Consider the following 25,949-nt stretch of genomic DNA (forward strand, 5'->3'; position numbering starts at 1 on the left):
TTGTACATGTTCATACCAACTTTATTCATGATAGCCCCAAACTAGAAACAGCCCATTGTTCACCAGTTAGTTGTTCACCTAACAGGTGAAACGTTAAAATGTGGCATTCATACATAGAACACTGCTCAGCCATAAAAAGGAACAAAGCTTAAACACACTGATGAACATACAAACATGCTGAGTAAAAGGAACTTACAGAATACATACTGCATAAGTGAGTCCGTTATATGAAGTTCTAGAATAGGCAAAATTAATCTACAGTGAACAAAATCCTAACAGTAGCTGACTGCCAGGGGAGGGAAGAAGGGACAGGAGAGAGAGGTGCAGGAATTGACTAGGTGAAAAAATTCAGATGTAATACAGATGTTCCAGACATAGGGGTTTGAGTTACATGCTTTTACATCAAAACTCATCAAATGAGTCTGGGTATGGTGGCTCACACCTGTAATCCCAGCTACTCGGGAGGCTGAGGCAGGAGACTCCCTTGAACCCAGGAGGTGGAGGTTGCAGTGAGCCAAGACCAGGCCACTGCACTCTAGCCTGGGCGATACAAGACTCCATCTCAAAAAAAAAAAAAAAAAAAGAAAAAACCTCATCAAATGATACACTTAACATTTATTCACCTTACTGCAAATCTCCCTCAAAAAAACTCCAATGACGGCTGGGTGTGGTGGCTGATGCCTGTAATCCCAGCACTTTGGGAGGCCGAGGCAGGCAAATGACTGGAGGCCAGGAGTTCCAGACCAGCCTGGCCAACATGATGAAACCCCATCTCTACTAAAAATACAAAAATTAGTCAGGCGTGGTGGTGCACATCTGTAATCCCAGCTACTCGGGAATCTGAGGCATGAGAATTGCTTGAAACTGGGAGGTGGAGGCTGTAATGAGCTGGGATCACGTCACTATAACTCCAGCCTGGGTGACAGAGCGACTGTCTCAAACACAAAAAACAAAAACAAAAACAAATTCCCATGACATGTATGCTGAAAGGATTAAAAGTGAAAAATGTCTACAACTTACTTGGACATGCATATAGAAAAAAAGATGAGACTGCAGGAGGCAGGCTATGGGATAAAGCATGGCAAAATGCTGCTTGTACAATCTAAGGGATGGGTATTGGCATCACCAAGATTTTATATACTGACAGAAAATGATCTTTAGGGTGTTTAGGTGGGAGAAAAGCCAAAATACAAAATAGCATGTACAGTATAATTTATATTTTTAAAAGAAATGACAACACCCACTAACACTTGCTTATAAATAAAGTAAAAGTCACTGCAAGCTTACACTAGAAACTGATAACAGGGCTGTGCGAGAATAGAAACTAAACAGCTGAATTACAGGAGGGGAAGGAGAATCTTCACTACCGTTTGTATCTCTTCAAGTTTATTTCCTTCAAAAAATAAAATATAAACAACTTTAAAATGAGCCTGCTTTTTTTTTTTCTGAGACAGGGTCTCACTCTGTCACTCAGGCTGGAGTGCAGCAACAGTCATGGCTCACTGCAGGCTTGACTTCCCAGGCTCAAGCAGTCCTCCCACTTCAGCCTCACAAAGTGCGGGGATTACAGATGTCAGCCACCACACCTAGCCTATTCTTGATTTTCATATAATCAGGCTTAAGACAGATTAAACCTTCCTTCCTATACTTCCTTTCTAAAAATAAGAAAACCACTAGAACTAAAATTCTGGACAGAAAATCCAGACACCTCACCAATGATGATATAAGGATGGCAGATTAAGTATATGAAAAGGTGCTCCACATCACTATGGGATTGGGAATTAAAACGATGAGACCACTATTCACCCATTAGCTAAAATGCAAGAGTGACATCACCAAATACTAATGAGGGTGAGGAGCTACAGGAACTCTTATTCATTGTCAATGGGAATTCAAAATAGTCATGTTGGAACAGTTTGGCAGTTTCTTCCAAAACTAAACATACTCTTAACTTACAATCCAGCAACCTGGTTCCTTGGTATTTACCCAAAGGAGCTGAAAACGAGTCTACACAAAAACCTGCACATAAATGTTTATAGCAGCTTTATTCCCTTCCTACAAACTTCAGATTCTCTTCTAATTTGCTGAACTTGGGGAGTGGGAGGGTAATGTATTTCTAATGCGATAGCGCAATTTGGATTGGAACTCTACTGCTGACATACATACCATTCTCCTCTATACTATAGGTCCTACCAATTCAATGTGAGTGTCTTCCGATAATTTAGGGGAAACTCTCAGAACAATGGAGTTTTTTGTATTTTGGTTTTTTTGATTTTGACAGAGTCTCACTCTGTTGCCCAGGCTGGAGTGCAATGGTGTGATCTTGGCTCGCTACAACCTCTGCCTCCCAGGTTCAAGCGATTCTCCTGCCTTGGCCTCCCAAGTAACTGGGATTACAGGCGTGTGCCACACCTGGCTAATTTTTGCATTTTCAGTAGAGCCGGAGTTTCACTAAGTTGGCCAGGCTAATCTTGAACTCCTGACCTCAAGTGACCCACCATGGAGGGTTTTAAATTCTGAAACAAACAGGATGTAACCCCAAAAAATAACTTTCCAAATGAGAACTGAGTAAGGGCTGTTCAGGGCAGAGGACATTAACAAGGCATGTTGATTAATAAGCAGATTCATGGCACACAATGTTGCCTTCAAACTGGGTTCCTTATGCTTCCCCCTTCAAGTAACACAGAAGTAGTGAGAATTTGGAGCCTTCCTCCCAGGGAAGATTCGGTCCCCCTTCCCACATGACAGAAGCTTAAGTTACCCACGCATAAAGGGACACATACTCTATTTCTGCTTCATTGCCTGGTGTCAATATTTAGATGAGACCACAATATTCAGATGAGACCACAATATTCAGCAATCAGCTCCCTGGTATTTACATACTGCTTCTCAGAGTTCTCCCTTGCACTCCGTAAGCAGCAGCTAGGCTAAAGCAGGATATGAGCACCCTGACCATATGCCCCACTCCCACTATTCTTCCTGATGGCTTTACCACAAAGGAAGTTATAGACACAAGGAACCCAAACAGAAGGAAATTCACCATCACTGCTTCCTTCAATAGCAAAGAGTGATGCAAAACAGTCTTCTCAAATGTGGGGAGACGGTACCGTCTTCCACTTGCATGGAAATAAGATTACTTTTACTGTATTATGTGCTTCTCTTCCTTTCCCATAACTACATCCACCTTAGCAATCACTTACGTACTAGCCTAGATCATGAACAAAAACAAAAGGGAGCATTCAAATACATAAAATGATTTCCCAATAATGGCCACATTTTGTACAGAAAACTCAGCCTGTAGCGTGCCAAGAAGATATATCCTTTCAACCTTACCCATCCATCATATAGCATTTTAATGCTTTGCTTGCATTCTTTTTCCAGAGATGTGCAAATAAAACTCATTAGCTTAAATCAATTGCAGATGAATTCCTCACAGTAGGCCCCACAGATCTTTTCCACAGCAAATCAGATACCAAATGTGAAAGAGCAACAAAGATCACATTCTAATAGTTCGTACAACTACAGATACCAGTTCTCATAGCTTGGCATATTCAACCATATATGAAAACGCATTTCCATCTAGGCAGTACTACTGATGATGTTAAGCTGGTTAAGTCATGTTCACAGGATTTTAGAGAACACACACACGAAAATTAACCCTTACTACTTATATTAATATAGCAGGACTTGAGGTAATAATATATTCAGTTGACTCACAGACTCCAATAATAAATACTCTTAGGTAATCTTCAGCCTGAAACAAGTCTTCATTTATTGACTACAGTACAGTGATTTCGCATCTTAGCTGGTAATCAAAGATGGTTATGTATTAAGTAAGAGAAGACATAGTCTCTCTTCCAGGTATCACCTGTCAGAAACCTGGGCAAATTTAATTTTAAGAACTAGAACTGCATCTCCTGGTGGCAGTCGTCACCCTGAGAACAGGAACAAGGCAAAGAAAGCATACAGGATTTTGATTCTCCTACACAGGTGCACATAAAGTTAGTTTATTAATGACTATATTTTGAAGCCAGCCATTTTGTCCAATATTTAAATAACAAGCTGTTTAATATTAAAGCAGAAAGTACTGCCACATTGTGACAGAAGTACAGCTTTATCCATAAACCCTTCACACAATTATACATTAAATGCTATTTTTATTTAAGCAAGGCACCCCTACTTGTTCTAAAATATGGGATGTACTACTCCATTTAAAAAGCAAATGAGGAGACTGATTTTTTTCCTATCTAGAGCTGGTTTAAATTCAAGTGAAGCCATTAATTTTCTTACCAGTCTGGACTGTTCTGACATGTCACTTCACAGTTTTGAGACTAACAAACACCCTTAGGTCTACCCCAAACCAAAAAAAGCCAGGGAGGGACAGTTTAGACAACTTTTAAGTTAAGACTAGAATGCCCCCTTAAGTAGATAGGCACCACCGTTATACGCCTTTAGCACAAGGCTTAGAAAGGCAAAACATTTCTAAAGACATAAAACCGCCAAATTGTCATTTACACTAAGCTGTGGTATTTTTTGTTTTGATTTTTAAAAATTCCTATCTCTAAGTAATCAAATACAGCAAAATTTAAAACTATTCTGCCAAACCATACCAGTTCAAAGGTCTGAAACCGTTCTTTGCTTTGGTGAATGTTTGGTTAAAATAAATCACTGTTTCACTCCATGAGAAGTTTTACATCAGAGCACTCAATTCACAGGCAAAAAAAAAAAGTTACTTTTTAAATGAAACCGTTTAAAGAACACTGCTGAATAAAAATATGTGGTCTTTACAATGAGTAACATATCATCTATGAAAACAAACCATTTAATCATATAAAACAAAGACCATATTTTTAAATCAGATCCTGGACAGTTTAAACAAAAATTTTAATTTGTGGTTTATTTCATAATCCCAAACTGGATCTTTCATTTCTTCTTCTAAACAGTCCACTATGAAACTTTTCTTAGAAGCAATTAACCCAAAACACCAAAATCATTTCCCTAGCAGTTGCTGCTAATAAACTGGAACTGTATATCCCAAGTCCAAGAAAGATGTGCAAATGAAATGCTTCTTGCTTCACCCTAAAAATAAAACAAAAAATATTGTACATTTACTCAAGATGAAAAAGGATGGCACACATTCCCATACCATTTAAAATTGCAAATTCAAATTTTTCTCCTTTCTAATTTAGTGCAAGCTATCTGATAAACCGAGTTAAAGTGAGGAAAACTAGTCAGGCATTAGTGTTTACAGGCTGGTACAAAAAACTGAGTTTCAGAATATATTTTAAATAGATTTTAGCTATTATAAATATTTAACACCAAAGAATTGTGGGACTTCATATCCAAAAATAGCAACAGAAGAGGCCAGGCACGGTGGCTCACGCCTGTAATCCCAGCACTTTGGGAGGTTGAGGCGGGCAGATCAGCTGAGGTCAGGAGTTCGAGACCAACCCGGCCAACATAAAGAAACCCCGTCTCCACAAAAATAAAAAATTAGCCGGGTGTGGTGGCGCATGCCTGTAATCCCAGCTACTGGGGAGGCTGAGGCAGGAGAATCACTTGAACCCAGGAGGCAGAGGTTGCAGTGAGCTGAGACTGTGCCATTGCACTCCAACCTGGGCAACGAGAGAAACTCCGTCTCAAAAAATAAATAAATAAAAATAAAATACAAAACTTAGCCGGGCATGGTGGCATACGCCTGTAGCCCCAGCTACTTCATAGACTGAGGCAGGAGAATCGCTTGAACCCGGGGGGCGGAGGTTGCAGTAAGCGGAGATCACACCACTGCACTCCAGCCTGGGCGACAGAGAGAGACTCCGTCTCCCAAAAAAAAAAAAAAAGCAATAGAATAGGATATAGTAATAGAATGAATGTCCGTGTTTTTTTGTTCCTTTTTTTTTTTTTTTTTTGAGACAGAGTTTCGTTCTGTCATCCAGGCTGGTGGAGTGCAGTGGCACCATCTCAGTCACTGCAACCTCCGCCTCCCAGATTCATGTGATTCTCCTGCCTCAGCCTTCCCAGTAGCTGGAACTACAGACATGCACCACCACACCCAGCTAATTTTTGTATTTTTAGGAGAGACAGGGTTTCGCCATTTTGGCCAGGCTGGTCTCAAACTCCTGACCTCAGGTGATCTGCCTGCCTCAGCCTCCTGAAGTAATGGGATTACTGGAGTAACCCACCATGCCTGGCCCCATGTGTTTTCAAGAAATCATTACAGGTAAGTGTCTCAAAAGAATGAGCCATTACCTGTAGAAAAGTGACTGCAATACAACAGTAATACTTACAATACCTTATGGGAAAAAAAAAAGACACCATATATTTAATCGAGGCAAGGAACATCAAGATGTATTAAGCAAATCTCACGGGTAGGTTAACACTATAAAATTATGTACTTCCTAAGGCAAAAAAAAAATGCCATTTTAGGAAAAGGAAACAGTGGCACATTAACTGTGTTTATGGATGATACACTCTGGTTTCACATGGTATCCTTTTAAAAATACCTTAAAACAGAAAATGGCTGGGCGTGGTGGCTCACACCTGTAATCCCAGCACTTTGGGAGGCTGAGGCTAGCGGATCACTGGATGTCGGGAGTTTGAGACCAGCCTGGCCAACATGGTGAAACCCCGTCTCTACTAAATATACAAAAATTAGCTGGATGTGGTAGAGAATGCCTGTAATCCTAGCTACTTGGGAGGCTGAGGCAGAAGAATCACTTGAACCCGGGAGGCAGGGGTTGCAGTGAGCTGAGATTGTGCCACTGCACTTCACCCTGGGCAAAAAGAGTGAGATTTCATATCAAAAAAAAAAAAAAAAAAAAAACAAAAGTAACCTGAGAAAATGGAAAACGTGTTTAAATTTAAGTGGGGAAAAAAAGCTAATGCAAGTCACATATCCAGTCTATTACGATTTATAGCTACTAAAGGTGGCTATTTTTTGGCAAACAGCATGATGTTGGAAATTATGCATAAAAATTCTATATGGAGATAATGCTCAAAGCTACCATATAAATCATAAGGAATTATGGCTGGGAGCAGTGGCTCACTCCTGTAATCCCAGCACTTTGGGAAGCCAAGGCAGGTAAATCACTTGAGGCCAGGAGTTAGTTCAAGATGAGCCTGGCCAACATGGTGAAACCTCATCTCTACTAAAAATACAAAAAAATTAGCCAGGCATTGTGGCGGGCACCTGCAGTCCCAGCTACTCGGGAGACTGAGGCAGGAGAATCACTTGAACCCAGGAGGCGGAGTTTGCAGTGAGCCCAGACTGCATCACTGCAATCTAGTCTGCTCAACAAAGCAAGACTCTGTCTCAAAAAAAATAAAAAGTAGGCCGGACACAGTGGCTCACGCCTGTAATCCCAGCACTTTGGGAGGCCGAGGCAGGCGGATCACCTGAGGTCAGGAGTTCAAGACCAGCCATGACCAACATGGAGAAACCCCGTCTCTACTAAAAATACAAAAATTAGCTGGGCGTGGTGGTGCATGCCTGTAATCCCAGCTACTTGGGAGGCTGAGGCAGGAGAATCTCTTGAACCCGGGAGGTGGAAGTTGCAGTGAGTGGAGATCGAGCCATTGCACTCCAGCCTGGGCAACAAGAGTGAAACTCCATCTCACAAAAAATAAATAAATAAATAAAATAAAATTTAAAAAAAATGAAAAAATATCATAATTAATTCTATTTCCCAGCAGAATTTTCTTTTTTTTTTTTTGCCCCCCACATCTGAGAAGCCAGAGCGAGAATTTTCATTCCTTATATTGACACTTCAATTATCATTAGTTTGATCTTTATTAAAAAGGAATGGTGCCAGGCGGGGTGGCTCACTCTTGTAATTCCAACACTTTGGGAGGCAAAGGCAGCAGGATCACTTAAGGCCAGAAGTTCAAGGCCAGCCTGGGCAACATAGTGAGACCCCATCTCTACAAAAAATTAAAAAATTAGGTAGGCATGGTAGTACACACCTGTAGTCCCAGCTACTTGGGAGGCTGAAGTGAGAGAATCACCTGAGCCCAGAAGGTTGAAGCTGCAGTGAGCTATGATCGCACCACTGCTAGCCTGGGCAACAGAGCAAGACCTAGTCCCTAAAAAAATTTGAAAAATAAAAAGAGAATGGTTTCTACCATATTACAAATTAGTGAGTGAATGATTATTAGTTTATCAATAGCAAATAATTTCCACAGTTGTATCTCTCTCTTTTTTTTTTTTTTTTTTGAGTCTCGCTCTGTTGCCCAGGCTGGAGTGCAGTGGCACAATCTCAGCTCACTGCAACCGCTGCCTCCCGGGTTCAAGTGATTCTCCCGCTTCAGCCTCCTGAGTAGCTGGAATTACAGGCACCCACCATCATGCTCGGTTAATTTTTGTATTTTTAGTAGAGACAGGGTTTCACCATGTTGGCCAGGCTGGCTTGAACTCCTGACCTCAGGTGGTCCGCCCACCTTGGCCTCCCAAAGTACTGGGATTACAGGTGTGAGCCACTGCACCCAGCCCACAGTATTACCTCTTAAATTTACCTTATTATCTGGAGCCCCTAGAGTCTTATTTTCCTTTTGGACATGAATTCAGGAACAGTTCAATATACCTATGATCTGAGGATAATGAGAAAGATTAGTTTTAAAAAGTTGAAAAGGTAGAAAAATATTACAGCCATTTTTCTCACAGTTCAGACAGCAACTCAAACCCTTTGCCCTTTCCTTTCCCTAATTAAAAACAAAATTTAGGCCAGACACGGTGGCTCACGCCTATTGTAATCCCAGTACTTTGGGAAGCCGAAGTGGGAGGATCACCTGAGGTAAGGAGTTCAAGCCAGCCTGGCCAATGTAGCGAAACCCCATCTCTACTAAAAATACAAAAATTAGCCAGTGTGGTGGTGGGTGCCTATAGTCCCAGCTACTCGGGAGGCTGTGGCAGGACAATCACTTGAACCCAGGAGGCGGAGGTTGCAGTGAGCTGAGATCATACCACTGCACTACAGACTGGGCGACAGACAAGACTCCGTCTCAAACAACCACAAACAAACAAAATGTAAAATGGACAAACAGGCTGGATGCGGTGGCTCATGCCTGTAATCCCGGCACTTTGGGAGGTCGAGGCAGGTGGACCATTTGAACCCAGGAGTTCGAGACCAGCCTGGCCAACATGGCGAAACCTGTGTCTACTAAAAATAGAAAAATTAGTCAGGCACGGTGCCAGGCACCTGTAATCCCAGCTACTCAGGTGGCTGAGGCAGGAGAATTGCTTGAACACAGGAGGCTGAGACTGCGGTGAGCCGAGATGGCACCGCTGCACTCCAGCGTGGGTGACAAAAAAAAAAGAAAGAAAGAGATTTGCAGGATAATTAGCAGACAAAATTTTTTAAATTATAATATAGTGTTTTATCTGTTACGTTTAATTTACTAGTACTAAAAGAATACAAATTTCTCAAGGAAAAATTCTACAATCCCAAAACAGAAAAAGATATTTGTAAGCAAAGACAAGCATCAAAAATGACAACAAAAGCCAAAGGCAGGACTTACGAACGTGGGACCGATCCTTGAGCATCGCTGCAACAGCATCCTCATGGGTCTCAAAGTGCACATCAGCTTCTCCAGTGGCCTTCCCACTGGAGCTGTATTCCATGGTGATTCTAACAGGCTTGAGTGGAGCAAAAAACTAAACGACAAACAAAGGCAGTCAAGAGGAACATGATGGATGTAAACCTACCTAGAAGTCTGGTGGCTCTTCATCTTTCTTTCAGACTTTGATTCATACACTTGATACATTTCTTTTTAGGAAATCTTTTTAAGCAGTAATATATTTATATATCTAGTATGTCTTCTGGCTTTTTACTTTTTCTCAGAACTCAAAGTGACATTTCAAATATCTGCTCTCAGCGAGCATGGTGGCTCACACCTGTAATCTCAACACTTTGGGAGGCCGAGGACAGTGGATCGCTTGAGGTCAGGAGATCAAAACCAGCCTGGCCAACATGGTGAAACCCCATCTCTACTGAAAATACTAAAATTAGCCGGGCATGGTGGCGCCTGCCTGTAATCCCAGCTACTCGGTAGACCAAGGCGGAAGAAATGCTTGAACCCGGGAGGCAGAGGTTGCAGTGAGCCAAGTTCACTCCACTGCACTCCAGCCTGGGCGACAGAGCGAGACTCTGTCACAAAAAAAAGTAATACCAAGCCACACTTTTCAGCTACAGAAAAAGAAGCAAGCTTTGCAACCAGGAAGATGCCATCTTACTATCCAACGCAGAAACACTATATTTTCTTCTCTACCTTCCCCAAATTAATACAAGTTCAATTTTAGAACTTTTGTTCAAATCTATTGAGATTGGATATCTTACTGCCACACACGTTTATAATGTCTTGGGCATTGGCTTGGAAAGGTAATCCTCTCATGTGGACAAAATGCAGAGAAGACGTAGTTCCAAAATCAGCAGCCTCTGGAAGCTTTTCTGGCACCTCCTTAGGCAATTCTGAGAGGTGGAACAGAAAGCACTGTTAAAACATAACAGCTTCAAGGGTTATTAACAGATTCTAATTAGGTATGACTTTTATGTCCAAATCCTCAATTCCTCTTAAGAGCATTAAAAGCCAAAATGATCTGAAATTTCTGCCACTCAACAAATATCACCTGAACACCCATAAGCACTGAATGCCTCAGACCATTACCAGTTTAAGAACTTAGCCCTTTTTGTAACATCAGAGAGCAGGTAAAATGATTATGAATTAAACCCTAAAAGAGACTTTCTAGATTATAGGCACTGAAAAAAAAAAAAAAGAACAAAGGCTGGGCGTGGTAGCTCACACTTGTAATCCCAACACTTTGGAAGGCTGAAGCAGGAGAATCACTTGAGCCCAGGAGTTCGAGACCAGCCTGGGCAACACAGCCAGACACTGTCTCTACAAAAAATAAAAATAAAAATAAGTTAGCTGGGCATGGTGATGCATGCCTATAGTTCCAGCTACTCAGGAGGCTGGGGTGGAAGAACTGCCTGAGCCCAGGAGTTCAAGGTTGCAGTGAGCCATGATTGTGCCACTGCACTCCAGAATGGGCCACAGAACAAGACTTTGTCTCAAAAAACAAAAATATATATACACATATATATAGTGACAAGATAATCCCAGGGTACCAGTTTAAAAAGTATTTATGAAACTTAAAAGATTCCAAATGTTGCCCTGGGTTAGGAATCAAAGAAATAATTAAATCCAGAAGCAAACAAAAATCCTTACTTCAGGCGGGCACAGTGGCTCATGCCTGTAATCCCAGCACTTTGGGAAGCAGAGGCCGGCAGATCACCTGAGGTCAGTAGTTCAACGCCAGCCTGGCCAACACGGGGAAACCCCGTCTCTACTAAAAATATAAAAATTAGCCGGGCACGGTGGCAGGCGCCTGTAGTCCCAGCTACTCGGGAGGCTGAGGCAGGATGATGGCGTGAACCTGGGAGGCGGAACCTGCAGTGAGCCGAGAGTGCGCCACTGCACTCCAGCCTGGGCAACAGAGTGAAACTCTGTCTCAAAAAAAAAAAAATCCTTACTTCAGTCAATATTCCTGCTCATTATCCAAATCTTCCCCCATCTTAATTTAAATGTTGACATCTTACTTCCTTTTATCACATTTTTACTACCCAGCTTTTGATATAGTTAATAAAAATGATTAAATTAAAAACCTAGCAAAATAATTAAGCCTTTCTGCATATACTCAAAGTATGTAAAGTCCTATTAAATCTTTAGGCCGGGTGTGTTGGCTCACACCTGTAATCCCAGCACTTTAGGAGGCTGCGGCTCACTTGAGGTCAAGAGTTCCAGACCAGCCTGGCCAACGTGGCGAAACCCTATCTCTACTAAAAATATAAAAATTGGCTGCGCGTGGCGGCATGCGCCTGTAGTCCCAGCTACTCAAAGAGGCTGAGGCAGGAGAATCACTTGAACCCAGGAGGTAGAGGCTGCAGTCAGCCGAGATCGCACCACTGCACTCCAGCCTGGCAACAGAGCGAGACTTCATCTCAAAAAAAAAAAAATCACAAAACCCAAAACATTCAAGATAGACCCAATGAGTCTCAAGAAGAGGCAGGACCTTACCTATTTCCTTCTCACTTTCAAAAGCTGTCATGGGTTGAATATCCTCATTTACTTCATGTTCTTCAAAGACCATTTCTGGCTCAGTTATATACTTAGCAGTAGGAAAAGATGCGATTTTCTTTCCCTTATAAGAACCGACATGTGTTCGAACTTCATTCCTTCTGCTTGGAAATATCTCGATGTATCTATGTCAAAGCAAAAGTAAACAGGCACAAATGGTGCAAAGTAACTTTATACTGAACTCATTTAAAATAAACATGTATACATTATATTTCCAACAGCTTATGAAACACAGGTGTCAAAAGATAACAGGTAGGGAAAACTAATAATGCATACAGATAGTAGCCCATGAAAATATACAACAGAGTAGGTCACTGATTTAAGTTTTTGCATCAAGGTAACACTTTTTCTTCACATACATTTTAATAATATTTTCTACTCTGTTTTGCTTCATGAGAACAACTATGCTTAAGTTAATTGTGTATACAGAAAAAATTAATCTCATAAGGGTTTTTTAAATTGCTGGTTAACAATCTCTTGAAGCTCTGAAATTCAATTCTGTGCAAATTAATCATATCTGTATAAGATATTAAAAGTCACAGTAAAAGAAGAGCTAACTTCCCCAGAACTTCACTAAAAGGCTGAGAATTCAAGAACTAAGTATCAATTATGACTTGCTATCACAGGAGGGGACTATCTATTAAACCCAAGCTTCTGGAACAATTTTTTTTTTTGAAACTTGGGTTTCTTGCTGTCACCCAAGATGGTGTGCAGTGGTGTGAACATGGCTCACTGCAGCCTCAACCTCCTAGGCTCAAGTGATCCTCCTGCCTCAGCCTCCTGAGTAGCTGGGGACTACTGCCACCTGCCACCACACACTGCTAATTTTTTTTTTTTTTTTTTGAAGCAGAGTTTTGCTTTTGTTGCCCAGGCTGGAGTGCAATGGCACGATCTTGGCTCACTGCAACCTCTGCCTCCTGGGTTCAAGCAGTTCTCCTGCCTCAGCCTCCTGAGTAGCTGGAATTACAGGCGCCCGCCACCACGCCCAGCTGATTTTTTGTATTTTTAGTAGAGACAGGGTTTCACTATGTTGGCCAGGCTGGTCTCAAACTCCAGACCTCAGGTGATTCACCTGCCTCAGCCTCCCAAAGTGCTGGGATTATAGGCATGAGCCACCATGCCCAGCCCACACACTGCTAATTTTTTTATTTTTTATTTTTGTAGACATGGGTTCTTGCCATGTTGCCCAAGTTGCTCTTGAACTCCTGGGCTCAAGTGATCCTCCCACTTCGGCCTCCCAAAGTGCTGGGATTATAGGCATGGGCCACCGCGCCCAGCACAGTTTCCTTTTTCTTAACATGGCCTTCTAAACTAAGAGTTATAAAACTAGCTTGTGTTTACAAATCTATAAAGATTAGATGAGCACTACTTCTTTAAAAAAAAAACCTTTGAGCCTGGACAACAAAGTGAGACACCATCTCTACAAAAGTTTTTTTTTGTTTTTTTTTTTAATTAGCCAGGAGACCAGGTACAGTGGCTCACACCTATAATCCCAGTACTTTGGGAGGCTGAGGCAGGTGGATCACTTGAGCTCAGGAGTGTGAGACCAGCTTGGGCAACATGCAAAACCCCGTCTCTACAAAAATACAAAAATTAGCTGGGTGTGGTGGCATGTATCTGTAGTCCCAGCTACTTGGGAGGCTGAAGTGGGAGGATTGCTTGAGCCCAGGAGGCCACAACTGCAGTGAGCTGTATCACACAACTGCACTCCAGCGAGGGTAACAGAATAAGACTCTGTCTAAAATTAGCCAGGCATGGTGATGCATGCCTGTGGTACCAGCTACAAGGAAAGCTGAGATGGCAGGACTGCTTGAGCCCAGAAGGTCAAGGCTGAAATGAGCAGTGTTTGTGGCACTGCACTTCAGCCTGGGTGACAGAGCAAGATCCTGTCTCAAAAAACCAAAAAACCTTTGAACCACTTCTATCAGTAGATCCTGAAACACTGGCTTTGGAATGGCTGTTTTGTTTACTTCAAAGGAGCTGATTTAAAAGGCCAGAAAACAGTAAAAAAAAAAATTAACGAAACAGTGATTTAACATTTGACATTTTAAACTGTACCTCCAAAGTTAAAGTTAAAACACAAATGAACCCACTTATCATCATGTGCATCCTGAGGTGATGTCAACATGAGATACTGTACAAGACAACTGATCTAATTTCTTCAAAAGTCAATTGCTTTTAAAAAGGGGGGAAGAATAAGTAAGGGGGATTTGCTCTAGTTCAAGAGAATCAGTGGTCAGGTGCAGTGGCTCACACCTGTAATCCTAGCGTTTTGGGAAGCCAAAGCGGGCGATCACTTGAGCCCATGAGTTTGAGGCCAGCCAGGGCAACACAGCAAGACCCCACCTACAAACACACACGCACGCACGCACACACACATACACACAGCCAGGTGTGGCGGCACATGCCTATTGTTCTAGCTAGTTGGGAGGATGAGGCGAGACGATTGCTTGAGCCCAGGAATTCAAGGCTGTAGTGAGCTATCATCATGCCACTGCACTCCAGCCTGGGTGACAGAATAAGACCCTGTGTCTTAAAAAAAAAAAAAAAACACACACACACACAGAGAATTATGGACATAACAATCAAATGCAGTGTGTAGACCTTATCTGGATTCTGTATTTTTGTCCGGTGTGCTGGCTCACACCTGTAATCCCAGCACTTTTGGAGGCCGAGGTGGGTGAATGACTTGAGTCCGGGAGTTCTAGACCAGCCTGGCCAACATGGTAAAACCTTGTCTCTACTAAAAATACAAAACTTAGCTGGGCATGGTGGCGCATGCCTCTAGTTCCAGCTACTCAGGAGGCTGAGGCAGGAGGATCACATGAAACTGGGAGGCAGAGAGAGGATGCAGTGAGCCAAGATCACACCACCGCACTCCAGCCTAGGCGGCAGAGTGAAACTCCGTTGCCAAAAAAAAAAAGGCTATTTTTGGTATAATTGGGAAAATGCTATTATGAACTGTTATTAGATAATATACTATTGCTAACAGTGTTAGATATAACATTGAAATTATGTAAAAAAATTTTTTTAAAAGATGCATACTAAAAAAAACCCAGATGAAGCAAATATAACAGATGTTACATTTTATATATAAATGTGTTAATCTAGCTGCTCTAGGTACTCTGTCTATGGGTTAGTCCCTGCCCCACAAGGAGCAGTCAAGCCGGATGCGGTGGCTCACGCCTGTAATCCCAGCACTTTGGGAGGCCGAGGCGGGCGGATCACAAGGTCGAGAGATCGAGACCACCCTGGCCAACATGGTGAAACCCCGTCTCTACTAAAAATACAAAAAAAGCCGGGCATGGTGGCAGGCGCCTGTAATCCCAGCTACTTGGGAGGCTGAGGCAGGAGAATCGCTTAAACCAGGGAGGCAGAGGTTGCAGTGAGCCAAGATCGTGCCATTGCACTCTAGCCTAGGCAAAAAGAGTGAAACTCTGTCTCAAAAAAAAAAAAAAGGAGCAGTCGAAAAAAAATTGTTAATCTAAATTATGGGCATTTGATGGCTCACTACACTACTCTCTCTACTTTTCTATGTTTGGATAACTTTTCAGTCATATTACAGCACATTCATCAAAATGACTTAATGTGTAACACTTCTGCATCATTAGTATCTGCTTTACTCACCGATTACCAATTTCTTCCCTGTGTTTCAACAGGGCTTGGTTGGCCATTTCTGGTTCTTCAAATTGCACATAGGCTTCCCCTGTTTTTCGCCTCCCTCTATAGTCCATCACAAAAGTAATGTCAACTATATTCAGTCCTAGGACACCAAGAGATTTTAATGCTACTAGCAGGCTTTTTTATCCTTAGAATTAACACCATCATTCACATACTAATAAAATTTTTATTCTGTTTTGCCAGTCCCAAAACTGAATACATGCTTGACAGGAAGAAAATTATTATGCAGTCAAAAGTCAGTCAACACCTACATACTTGTATTTCCAGAATAGGTAAGGTCCAAGAAGCCCACCCAAAACATACAATTCTCCCCACCAGTTTTTTTTTTTTTTTTTGCTGTTAATTATATACTAGGAAACAATAGAAATCACAGACTTCACTGCTAATGGTTCTAGGAATTAGAAAATACTTTTAAATTATATAAATTGTTATTGTCTTACACAAATACAGCAACTATTATGAGAAGTTATTTCCTTCAATAGTAAAACCCTCATGAAATTATTCTGAAATCTGACTTCCCTCCTAAAATCTGCCTGATAGAACAAAAACACATATAAAATCTATAAATATTAGAAATTTAAGTGAAGAGCTCTCCCCTAAAGAACCTAATATAACTGCATGCCTTTGCCCAGAAACAGGCTCATCTAAGATATAGAAGGAGATACCAAGGGAAAAAAGATATGAGCTCCCAAGCATAATACAACTGCAAAGTACCTGCAAAGAAGTCTACAATGTCTTTCTCATTGCAACTATAAGGAAGTCCTCTCAAACGAACCACACCATCATTTACCACAGGCGAAGATTTGACCTGCAAGCTCTTCATTAAGGCATCCACATCTTCATTGTTTATCTCATATACTACGAAGAAAAAACCCAACAGGGATGAAAAATTTACATAACAAAGGAACAAACCCATTAAAAAAAATCATTACAACTTGCTGGGTTATCTGAGAATTCAATAACTATTTTAATCTTTATGCGCTTCTCTAGAGAAAATAACAAATGACATTTATTGCATATTTACCATGCGGGCATAACTTCTTTATTTCTCACAGCTTGTAAGATACTTCATTGGCCAGGCACACTGGCTCACGCCTATAATCCCAGAACTTTGGGAGGCCAAGGCGGGTGGATTACCTGAGGTCAGGAGTTTGAGACCAGCCTGACCAATATGGTAAAACCCCATCTCTAATAAAAATACAAAAATTAGCTGGGTATCATGGCATGTGCCTGTAGTCCCAGCTACTTGGGAGGCTGAGACAGGAGAATTGCTTGAACCCAGGAGGCAGAGGTTGCAGTGAGCTGAAATCGCACCACTGCACTCCAGCCTGGGTGACAGAGTGAGATTCCATCCCCCCCACAAAAAAAAGAAACTTTATCTCTTTATGTTTTATTTTCACATCCTATAAAAGAATGCATTCATACAATCTAAATACTTCATTATTAAGGATCAAATAAAAACTACCTTGAAAAGTATAAAACCTAATGCAATGATCCCAAAAAGCCATAATCTGACTTCACATACCTTCCACATACCGCTGGCCCATGTACATGCGGTGCTTCTCTAAGGCTTTCTGCACATCCTGCTCTGACTCCATTTCAATTAAGGCATCACCCCTTCGTTTCCCATCTCTGTTTAGGAGAAAATGTATTCCATTCTCACCGTTGCGGATTCTGCAGTCTAAAAGTGTATGAGCAAAATCAATTGAAAACAGAAATCAAACTTTTAGCTCAATTATGTAAGTCACAAGAATGCAGTTTTCCAACAACAAAGCAGGAAACAAGTGTCATATTCCTTACACAAATCCCCATCACTGAAGTCATCCAAACACCAATAAGGATTTAGTCTCTAAAACCTTCCAAGTAGAAAAGATAAGCAAACCTTAGCACAGAAGCTTATGATCTCCTTCCTGATCATTAAATAGCAAATCAGGATAGGCCCAACACAAAATTCATTATTTCTATTGCAATGTTTCTACAATCACTTAAGGAAATACAATATAGTTAAATTTATACATAAGTGTCTTCCTTTAAAATCATCTCCATAGGTCTCTAAAATATTTCCTGTATGAGTAATTTTATTACCATAGTTTAACTTTTTGTTTTTGTAGAGAGGCGGTCTCATTTTGTTGCACAGGCTGGTCTTGAACTCTTGGGCTTAAGTAATCCTCCCACCTTAGTCTCCCAAAGTGCTGGGATTACAGGCATCAGCCACCACACCCAGCCTTTTTCCCCTTTTCATACTGCATACTTTTTATAATGGGAGTAGTCCAAGATGTAAGTGGCCAAGTGGCTTTAAAAAAAAGTTTGACCAGGCTCACTCTGGGCATACTGCCTAGGATTTACTCCTGCTCCACAAGGAGCAGCTAAAAAAATTAATGAAATAGCCAGGCATGGTGGTTCATGCCTGTAATCCCAGCCCTTTGGGAGGCCAAGGTGGTGGATCACCTGAGGTCAGGAGTTTGAGACCAACCTGGCCAACACGGCAAAACCCTGTCTCTACTAAAAATACAAAAATTAGCCGGGCATGGTGATAGGTGCCTGCTGTCCCACCAACTCAGGAGGCTGAGGCAGGAGAATCCCTTGAACCCGGGAGGTGGAGGTTGCAATGAGCCGAGATTGCGCTACTGCACTCCAGCCTGGGTGACAGAGCAAGACTCCATCTCAAAAAAATTAATAAAAATAAATCATAGTCAGATACAGAAACTAAAAAAAAAAATCCCACAGATATGTAAACCCTCCAAACATGTTATTAAGGGAACTTTATTCCTTGATACTAAGTGACCTTCTATTGTAAATGTCTGTATTACATAAAGAGTCACCCTTAATTCCATATTTCCACTGACAGGCTTGACTTTTTGATATGTATATATTAATACCACAGAGAAAAATAATTTCAAACCATGTAATTTTGTTTTTCAACTTTTATTTAGTACATGTATAGGACTGCTACATAGGTAAACCATGTGTTATGGGAGTTCGGTATACAGATAATTTAGTTACCCAGGTAGCAAGCACAGTACCCAATAGGTTTTATTTTTCTTTTTGAGACAGAGTCTCTCTCTGTCACCACGGCTGGAGTACAGTGGTGTGAACTCAGCTCACTGCAACCTCCGCCTCCCAGATTCAAGCGATTCTCCTGCCTCAGCCTCCCAGGTAGCTGGGACTACGGGAGCGTGCCACCACGCCCGGCTAATTTTTTTTGTATTTTTAGGAGAGATGGGGTTTCAACATGTTAGCCAGGATGGTCTCGATCTCCTGACCTCGTGATCCGCCCGCCTCGGCCTCCCAAAGTGCTGGGATTACAGGCGTGAGCCACCGCACTTGGACCCGATAGGTATTTTTTAATCTTCTCCCCAACCCTCAAGTTGGCCCTGGTGTCTTCTTGTTCCCCTCTTTGTGTCCATGTGTTCTCATTGTTTAGCTCCCACTTGTAAGTGAAAACATACAGTATTAAGTTTAATGTTCCATGTTAGTTTGCTTAGGATAATGGTCTCCAGCACCACCCACATTGCTGCAAAGCACATAATCTCACTCTTTGTTATGGCTACGTAGTATTCCATCATACCAGCCGGGCACGGTGGCTCACGCCTGTAATCCCAGCACTGTGGGAAGCCGAGGCAGGCAGATCACAAGGTCAGGAGATTGAGATCATCCTGGCTAACACGGTGAAACCCCAGCTCTACTAAAAATACAAAAAATTAACTGGGTGTGGTGGCAGTCGCTACTAGGGAGGCTGAGGCAGGAGAATGGTGTGAACCCGGGAGGCGGAGCTTGCAGTGAGCTGAGATCATGCCACTGCACTCCAGCCTGGCGACAGAGCGAGACTCCGTCTCAAAAAAAAAAAAACCTACATAGTATGATGGATTTTTTTTTTTTTTTGAGACAGAGTCTCACTCTGTCGCCCAGGCTGGAATGCAGTGGCACCATCTCGGCTCACTGCAAGCTCCACCTCCCGGATTCACACCATTCTCCTGCCTCAGCCTCCCAAGTAGCTGGGACTACAAGCCTGGGTAATTTTTGTATTTTTAGTAGAGACGGGGTTTCACTATGTTAGCCAGGATGGTCTCGATCTCCTGAGCTTGTGATCCGCCCGCCTCGGCCTCCCAAAGTGCTGGGATTACAGGCGTGAGCCACTGCGCCTGGCCCATACTATGCAGTCTTAACGTTAAAATACTTTTGTTGCATTCAAAGTCTTTATACATATGTAAATTGAGACAGTCTCACAGTGTTGCCCAGTGTGGTATGGAACTACTGGCCTCAAGCCATCCTTCCACCTTGGCCTCCCAAACTGCTGATTACAGGCCTGAGCCACTGCCCCTGGCCCAAAGTCTTTCAATTCGTTACATACCGCAAACAGCACACATGGTATCATTTGGTATATGCAACCAACCAGAATGAGACAGTTCCCAACCATCAAAAAGGAAGGTGACAGCGTAGTCTGACATGGATTTGTAGCACTACCTTTTACTCAGACAAAATTACATACTTAAAACATACATACCTGCTTGTGAGAAACAATATAAGGAAAAAAAATAAATAAATAAAACATACATAAAATATACCTGAAAAAAAGTTAAGCACATCTTCCATAGTGCATGACCAGGGCAGTCCTTGAGCTCGAATGAGAAAGACATCATCCACTTCCTCTTCTAACTTGGACGGGGCCAATTCATACTCAGGGGGTGGTGGAAGGTCTTCCAGGTAAGTAGTTTTGGACTCCTTCCAAAGGAAATGAAGAATTGTAAAAAGAGTTGCATTTACAGGTAAAAAATGTAAAAAAATTCTTAGAAAATGTTTATTCTACAAACTAACATTCTAGATGTTATTTCAGAAGCAAAAAGTAAACTTCACCAATGTAACCCATCCTGTTTTGGCTTAAATTGTACATCCAAAAGCCATAAGCAGGTATATCCTAAAGGTTTGGCAGGACACAAATTTCATTCAGGGTTTGTTTTAAAATTCATCAACCCCAAATTATAGCTAACAATAGTGTAGTTAAGGCAACACAAGAAAGGTCCTGACAATTTGACAAATATTTGATTGCCCCTACACACAGTGTTTGCCGCCCTCATCTGAAATAGCTATCTAGAATACGATAAGCATACAAGATGAGATACTGAGTGCTATAATTAAGATACAAAATACTACAGGAATTCAAATCAGAGCACTAACAGATGAATCAGGATGTGACATGAGATGGGCCTTGAAGGAAGGATAGAATTTTTATGAGGATATAAAAGATAGGGTATTCCAGTTTGAAGGCGAGAGAAAGAAGCAGTACGACCAAATGCCCATTTGAATAACAGCAATTAATTCCAACTGTTTAAATTAGGAGCCAAAGAAGGTGACCTGGCAAAAGAGGTTGGTACCATAGAGCAGAGGGCCTTGAGTGTGGAGCTCAATGTGTGTCCTTCACTTGGTAGGCAAAGATAAGTTAATACAAGACACTGAGGACTGGGTAAATCAACAAGACAGCAGGACGCCTTGGGAATATTCCTCTGTCAGCTGGTATGCCAGACCAAGTGATTAAGGGAAAGATCTTAAAGACAACGGCAGCAGTGTGAGGCTACAGACTTGTAAAGTCTCTTTTATCGGATTAAGTAAAACTGGAATTTAGTAAGAATCCACGAAGCACTACAACCATAACCTAAGAAGACAACTCAGGCTTTAAGACTTGCACTCTACTGGGCCAGGTGCGGTGGCTCACGCCTGTAATCCCAGCACCTTGGGAGGCCGAGGTGGGCGAATCACGAGGTCAGGAGTTCAAGACCAGCCTGGCCAACATGGCAAAACCCCATCTCTACTAAAAATACAAAAAATGAGCCGGGTGTGGTGGCGTGTGCCCGTAATCCCAGCTACTCGGGAGGCTGAGGCAGGATAATCGCCTGAACCCGGGAGGTAGAGGTTTCAGTGAGCTGAGATCTCGGCATTTCACTCCAGCATGGGCAACAGAGCAAGACTCCGTCTCAAAAAAAAAAAAAAAAAAAGACTTGCACTCTACCGGACTAAGGACAGAGATATCTTTCTACTATCTGTCATTTTCTTTTCTTTTCTTTTTTCTTGAGACGGAGTTTCGCTCTTGTCGCCCAGACTAGAGTATAATGGCACAATCTCGGCTCACTGCAACCTCCCCGGGTTCAAAGGATTCTCCTGCCTCAGCCTCCCGGGTAGCTGGGATTACAGGCGCCCGCCACCCCGCCCGGCTAATTTTTTTGCATTTTTTTAGTAGACACGGAGTTTCACCATGTTGGTTAGCCTGCTATCGAACTCCTGACCTCAGGTGATCCACCCGCCGCAGCCTCCCAAAGTGCCGCGCCCAGCCCTATCTATAATTTTCATTAAGGCTTAATGTTAGGCCGGGCGCGGTGGCTCACGCCTGTAATCCCAGCACTTTGGGAGGCAGAGGCGGGCGGATCACGAGGTCAGGAGATCGAGACCACGGTGAAACCCCGTCTCTACTAAAAATACAAAAAATTAGCTGGGCGCAGTGGCGGGCGCCTGTAGTCCCAGCTACTCGGGAGGCTGAAGCAGGAGAATGGCGTGAACCCGGAAGGCGGAGCTTGCAGTGAGCCGAGATCATTCCACTGCACTCCAGCCTGGGCGACAGAGCGAGACTCGGTCTCCAAAAAAAAAAAAAAAAAAAGGCTTAATGTTTAGTTTTAAGGAATAAATGTAAGCAGTGTCTAACACATAGTAGATGCTCTACAGATATCACCGCAGTCAATTTCATAGAAAAAAAAAGAGAGAAGCTAGCTCACAAAGGTTTACTGGAGATGGTTTTGTTGTGGTTTTTGTAGACAACTTTCCCCATTTTTCCATAATTCCATAAGCATCACAAGCTTTTACAGAAAAAGGCAGCGTAAAGTATTGGGCCAGGATTCAAATCAATTAGCTCAGCCACTGGCAGACAGCAGCCATGCTGATTAGCCTCCCAGTCTCCCTAAGTTAAAGGAGAAGCACAAATTGAATTAAGATAAATATGACCTAAGGAATCAGGGGCTGGGTAGTTAAAAAGTGTGCAGACACTTCCCAGATGCCACGTACCAAGAAGAGAAAGGTTCATCTACAAAGCACAAAATATTTGCAATCTAACTACACACCGACTTTTCTAAAAAAATAAAGAAAAAATGGAAAGGAAAACATTGCAAATTCATTCCTGGGACCCCAAGTTGTGTCCTCAACCCTCAACGCTCCCTCCCATTCACCCCCTCCCCCCAACAGCTAAATCTCCAAACTGCTTTCCCAGACGAGGCGACACACAGTCCTTAAAGACCTTCTGTATGAGTGGAGTTGCAGAGGTGACCTTCAGTAAACCGGGACAGCTCGTCTTTCCCTGGGGACAGGAGAGGGAACGGCGCGATGGGGACAGGCTCCTTCCCTACAAGCCAGCCCACGCAACTGTGTGCGCGCACCTTCCCAGCAGCGGCCGACCGAGAGGCGCCGAGGGCCGCCCAGGCCTAGCGCTCGGGCTGCACGGAAACTCCCAACCCTCCGGCGGGCTCGGGCCTCGCAACTTCACAACCAGCCGGCGGAAAGCAAGAAGATGCGAGGTGGGGGCGTCAGCAGCCTCACGAAACCTACCATGGGCCAGGCGGGGAACAAGGCCTCAACATTCACCCCAGCCACACTTACACTGCCCAACCGACCAGAGACTCGAGGCGAGAACAAAACAAGCAGAAGACCCGACGCCTGGGAGAGCTTCCCTTGTTCCAGGGCCCAATAGGAGCACAGGGTGGACGGGGGCGGGTGTGCGGCGAGTGTCGCGGATCCCCGGGCGTGCCCGCGAGGCGCACACGGAGGGACGGAGGGGCGCGGGGGCGCGTGCACGCGGCCCGGGAGGGATCTCGCGCCAGGTCCCTCACGGCGCCCACGTACCTGGCTGTAGCTGCGCGTCGGGACGGCGGCCGCCGCCGCCAGCGACTGCGGCAGCAGAGAGGCACGGAGGGCAGAGTAGGACGCGGCGGCCGCGGCCGCGGCAGAGGTGGCCACAGCGGGAGGCCCCGCCAGCCTCCCGGGAGGCACAGGCCCGGTCTGGAGGCCACGCGTCTGGGAGGCAGCGGCCGCGGCGGCCCCGAGCAGCAGCAGCAGGCGGCGGCGGCCCGAGACGCCCGACGGGATAGAGCCAGCGGCGGAGTAGAAGGGCAGGCAGGCGGCGCCGGTGCGCCGGCAGCTGCTGCAGTTACAGCCGCAGCCCCGGAGCAGCGCCCCGAGTACCCAGCGCGTGCCGGCCATGGACTCCGGAGGCGGCGCAGGGCCTGAAGGCAGCTGCTCCAGCAGCGATGGTGGAACGGAAGTGGAATCCAGGGCCGGTTGGGGGTGGGGTGTGCCTGGCACATGCGCCGCGGGCACTGGGTGGGGGGCCTCCGAGAGTCGGAAGGAGGTGGAGGAGAGCGCGACGCTCCGCCCAGTCTCCGCCCTTGGGCGGGGCTGCCCATGGTTTGGGCGGGGCTGCCCATGGTTTGGGCGGGGCTGCCCATGGTTTGGGCGGGGCTGCCCATGGTTTGGGCGGGGCTGCCCATGGTTTGGGCGGGGCTGCCCATGGTTTGGGCGGGGCTGCCCATGGTTTGGGCGGGGCTGCCCATGGTTTGGGCGGGGCTGCCCATGGTTTGGGCGGGGCTGCCCATGGTTTGGGCGGGGCTGCCCATGGTTTGGGCGGGGCCCGGGGAAGTGGGTGCAATCGAACTGCTCTTTTTTCAGGCGGTGGAAACTGAGGCCCAAAGTAAGTGAGGCTAGGGGCCTGGCGCAGTGACTCATTCGTAGTGACTCATTCTTGTAATCCTAGCACTTTGGCAGGCAGAGGCGGGTGGACTGCCTGAGGTCAGGAGTTCGAGACCAACCTAGGCAACACGGTGAAATCCCGTCTCTACTAAAATACAAAAAATTAGGTCGGACGCGGTGGCTCCCGCCTGTAATCCCAGCACTTTAGTAGGCCGAGGTAGGGCGGATCACCTGAGGTCAGCAGTTCAAGACCAGCCTGGCCAACATGGTGAAACTGTGTCTCTACTAAAAACACAAAAATTAGCCGGGTGTGGTGACGGGTGCCCGTAATCCCAGCTACTCAGGAGGCTGAGGCAGGAGAATCGCTTGAACCCAGGAGGCGGAGGTTGCAGTGAGCCAAGATCGTGCCACCGCACTGCAGCCTGGGCGACAGAGTGAGACGCCATCTCCAAACAAACAAACAAAAAAATTAGGTTAGGGCCATCCTGCTCTGGGTAGGGCCGAGAGCTGTAGCACAAGTCTGTGCTGCCCTGCGCTGTGCCACCGAAACCCGTGGTGTGAGTGGCTAAAGAACCCTTTCTGAAAGGAATTGTGATACCTTGGTTATAAAAAAATCGTTGGGATAATATCAGAGATTTGGTACCCCCCGAATTTGAGGTATGTGAGGAAGGAGAACTTCGTTGTTTTAAAATGAAATATAGGCCTGGCGTGGTGGCTCATGCCTATAATCCCAGCGCTTTGGGAGGCTGAAGTGAGAGGATCACTGGAGCCCAAGAGTTCCAGACCAGCCTGGGCAACATAGGGAGACCCCGTCTATACAAAAAATAAATAAAGCTGGGTGTGATGGCGTGGGCCTGTAGTCCCAGCTACTTGGGAGGCCGATTGCTTCAGCCCAGAAGGTAGAGGCTGTGGTAAGCTATGATTGCCACCACTGAACTCCAGCCTGGGTGACAGAGTGAAACCCTGTCTCTAAAAAAATAAAAGAAAACATATATATTTATTATGTACTGATAATACATAACAAAGGTGAACCCTCCCCTAATGAAACTGTATTCACAAGTGAACACACAGAGATTTGCACACACATACACAAAGACTGGTTGTGCAGCTTTTCTCCTCCTGAGCCAGGACTTGTCAAAGACAAGCAAAAGGAAGTTGTTAGAGTAAAAAATAAGAGAAAGCTAGTATTTTTAAAAACTCCTTACTGTGGAAAATGTCAAACAGAAGAGCAGAATGAATTTCCAGAACTTCATAAATTGTCAACACTTTTCAGTCTTGTTTCATCTATCCCCTACCACCATCTTCCAGACCTTATTTTCTTTGCTAGAATATTTTAAAGCAATGGGTATTACATTTAAAGTTTGACTTGTTTAACCTGGACTACTTTTAGGTAAGGAAAATTCAGTATTTCTTAGAAA

General features: G+C 44.0%; 1 protein-coding gene and 1 long non-coding RNA gene across 5 annotated transcripts in view, besides 4 other annotated features; one reads left to right on the plus strand and one right to left on the minus strand.

Annotated features, from left to right (window-relative positions):
• Positions 1 to 25,949, minus strand: part of GRSF1 (G-rich RNA sequence binding factor 1) — a 27,453-nt gene continuing 1,504 nt past the window's right edge. The window contains exons 1-10 of one of the 4 annotated variants that reach the window (NM_002092.4): positions 23,689 to 24,108; positions 20,376 to 20,532; positions 17,336 to 17,491; positions 16,525 to 16,668; positions 15,757 to 15,892; positions 12,070 to 12,254; positions 10,342 to 10,463; positions 9,514 to 9,649; positions 8,512 to 8,586; positions 1 to 5,079 (exon numbers count right to left, since the gene is read on the minus strand). In NM_002092.4, coding sequence (NP_002083.4) covers positions 8,537 to 8,586; positions 9,514 to 9,649; positions 10,342 to 10,463; positions 12,070 to 12,254; positions 15,757 to 15,892; positions 16,525 to 16,668; positions 17,336 to 17,491; positions 20,376 to 20,532; positions 23,689 to 24,045 — 1,443 coding nt within the window. In that variant the 5' untranslated portion in view covers positions 24,046 to 24,108 and the 3' untranslated portion in view covers positions 1 to 5,079; positions 8,512 to 8,536. Of the gene's footprint in view, positions 5,080 to 8,511; positions 8,587 to 9,513; positions 9,650 to 10,341; positions 10,464 to 12,069; positions 12,255 to 15,756; positions 15,893 to 16,524; positions 16,669 to 17,335; positions 17,492 to 20,375; positions 20,533 to 23,394; positions 23,480 to 23,688; positions 24,109 to 25,949 lie in introns of those variants that run through there. The other 3 variants (NM_001098477.2, XM_047450140.1, XM_011531897.4) reach the window with 3 other exon arrangements.
• Positions 22,811 to 23,465: an enhancer, noted in NCBI's record as "H3K27ac hESC enhancer chr4:71704310-71704964 (GRCh37/hg19 assembly coordinates)". NCBI's record gives its function as "activates a minimal SCP1, AML or CMV promoter by ChIP-STARR-seq in naive H9 embryonic stem cells {active_cell/tissue: H9 hESC(naive)}" and the evidence as "EXISTENCE:reporter gene assay evidence [ECO:0000049][PMID:30033119]".
• The window catches only part of LOC124900710 (uncharacterized), an 8,902-nt gene continuing 6,162 nt past the window's right edge, over positions 23,210 to 25,949 (plus strand). The window contains exon 1 of the long non-coding RNA XR_007058131.1: positions 23,210 to 23,363. This is a non-coding gene — a long non-coding RNA (uncharacterized LOC124900710). The remainder of the gene's footprint in view (positions 23,364 to 25,949) is intronic.
• Positions 23,466 to 24,119: an enhancer, noted in NCBI's record as "H3K27ac hESC enhancer chr4:71704965-71705618 (GRCh37/hg19 assembly coordinates)". NCBI's record gives its function as "activates a minimal SCP1, AML or CMV promoter by ChIP-STARR-seq in naive H9 embryonic stem cells {active_cell/tissue: H9 hESC(naive)}" and the evidence as "EXISTENCE:reporter gene assay evidence [ECO:0000049][PMID:30033119]".
• Positions 23,516 to 24,065: a silencer, noted in NCBI's record as "silent region_15470". NCBI's record gives its function as "represses an Ori minimal core promoter by ATAC-STARR-seq in GM12878 lymphoblastoid cells {active_cell/tissue: GM12878}" and the evidence as "EXISTENCE:reporter gene assay evidence [ECO:0000049][PMID:35858748]".
• Positions 24,126 to 24,375: a silencer, noted in NCBI's record as "silent region_15471". NCBI's record gives its function as "represses an Ori minimal core promoter by ATAC-STARR-seq in GM12878 lymphoblastoid cells {active_cell/tissue: GM12878}" and the evidence as "EXISTENCE:reporter gene assay evidence [ECO:0000049][PMID:35858748]".

This window comes from Homo sapiens, chromosome 4, assembly GCF_000001405.40.
Source record: "Homo sapiens chromosome 4, GRCh38.p14 Primary Assembly".
Classification (NCBI taxonomy): Eukaryota; Metazoa; Chordata; class Mammalia; order Primates; family Hominidae; genus Homo; species Homo sapiens.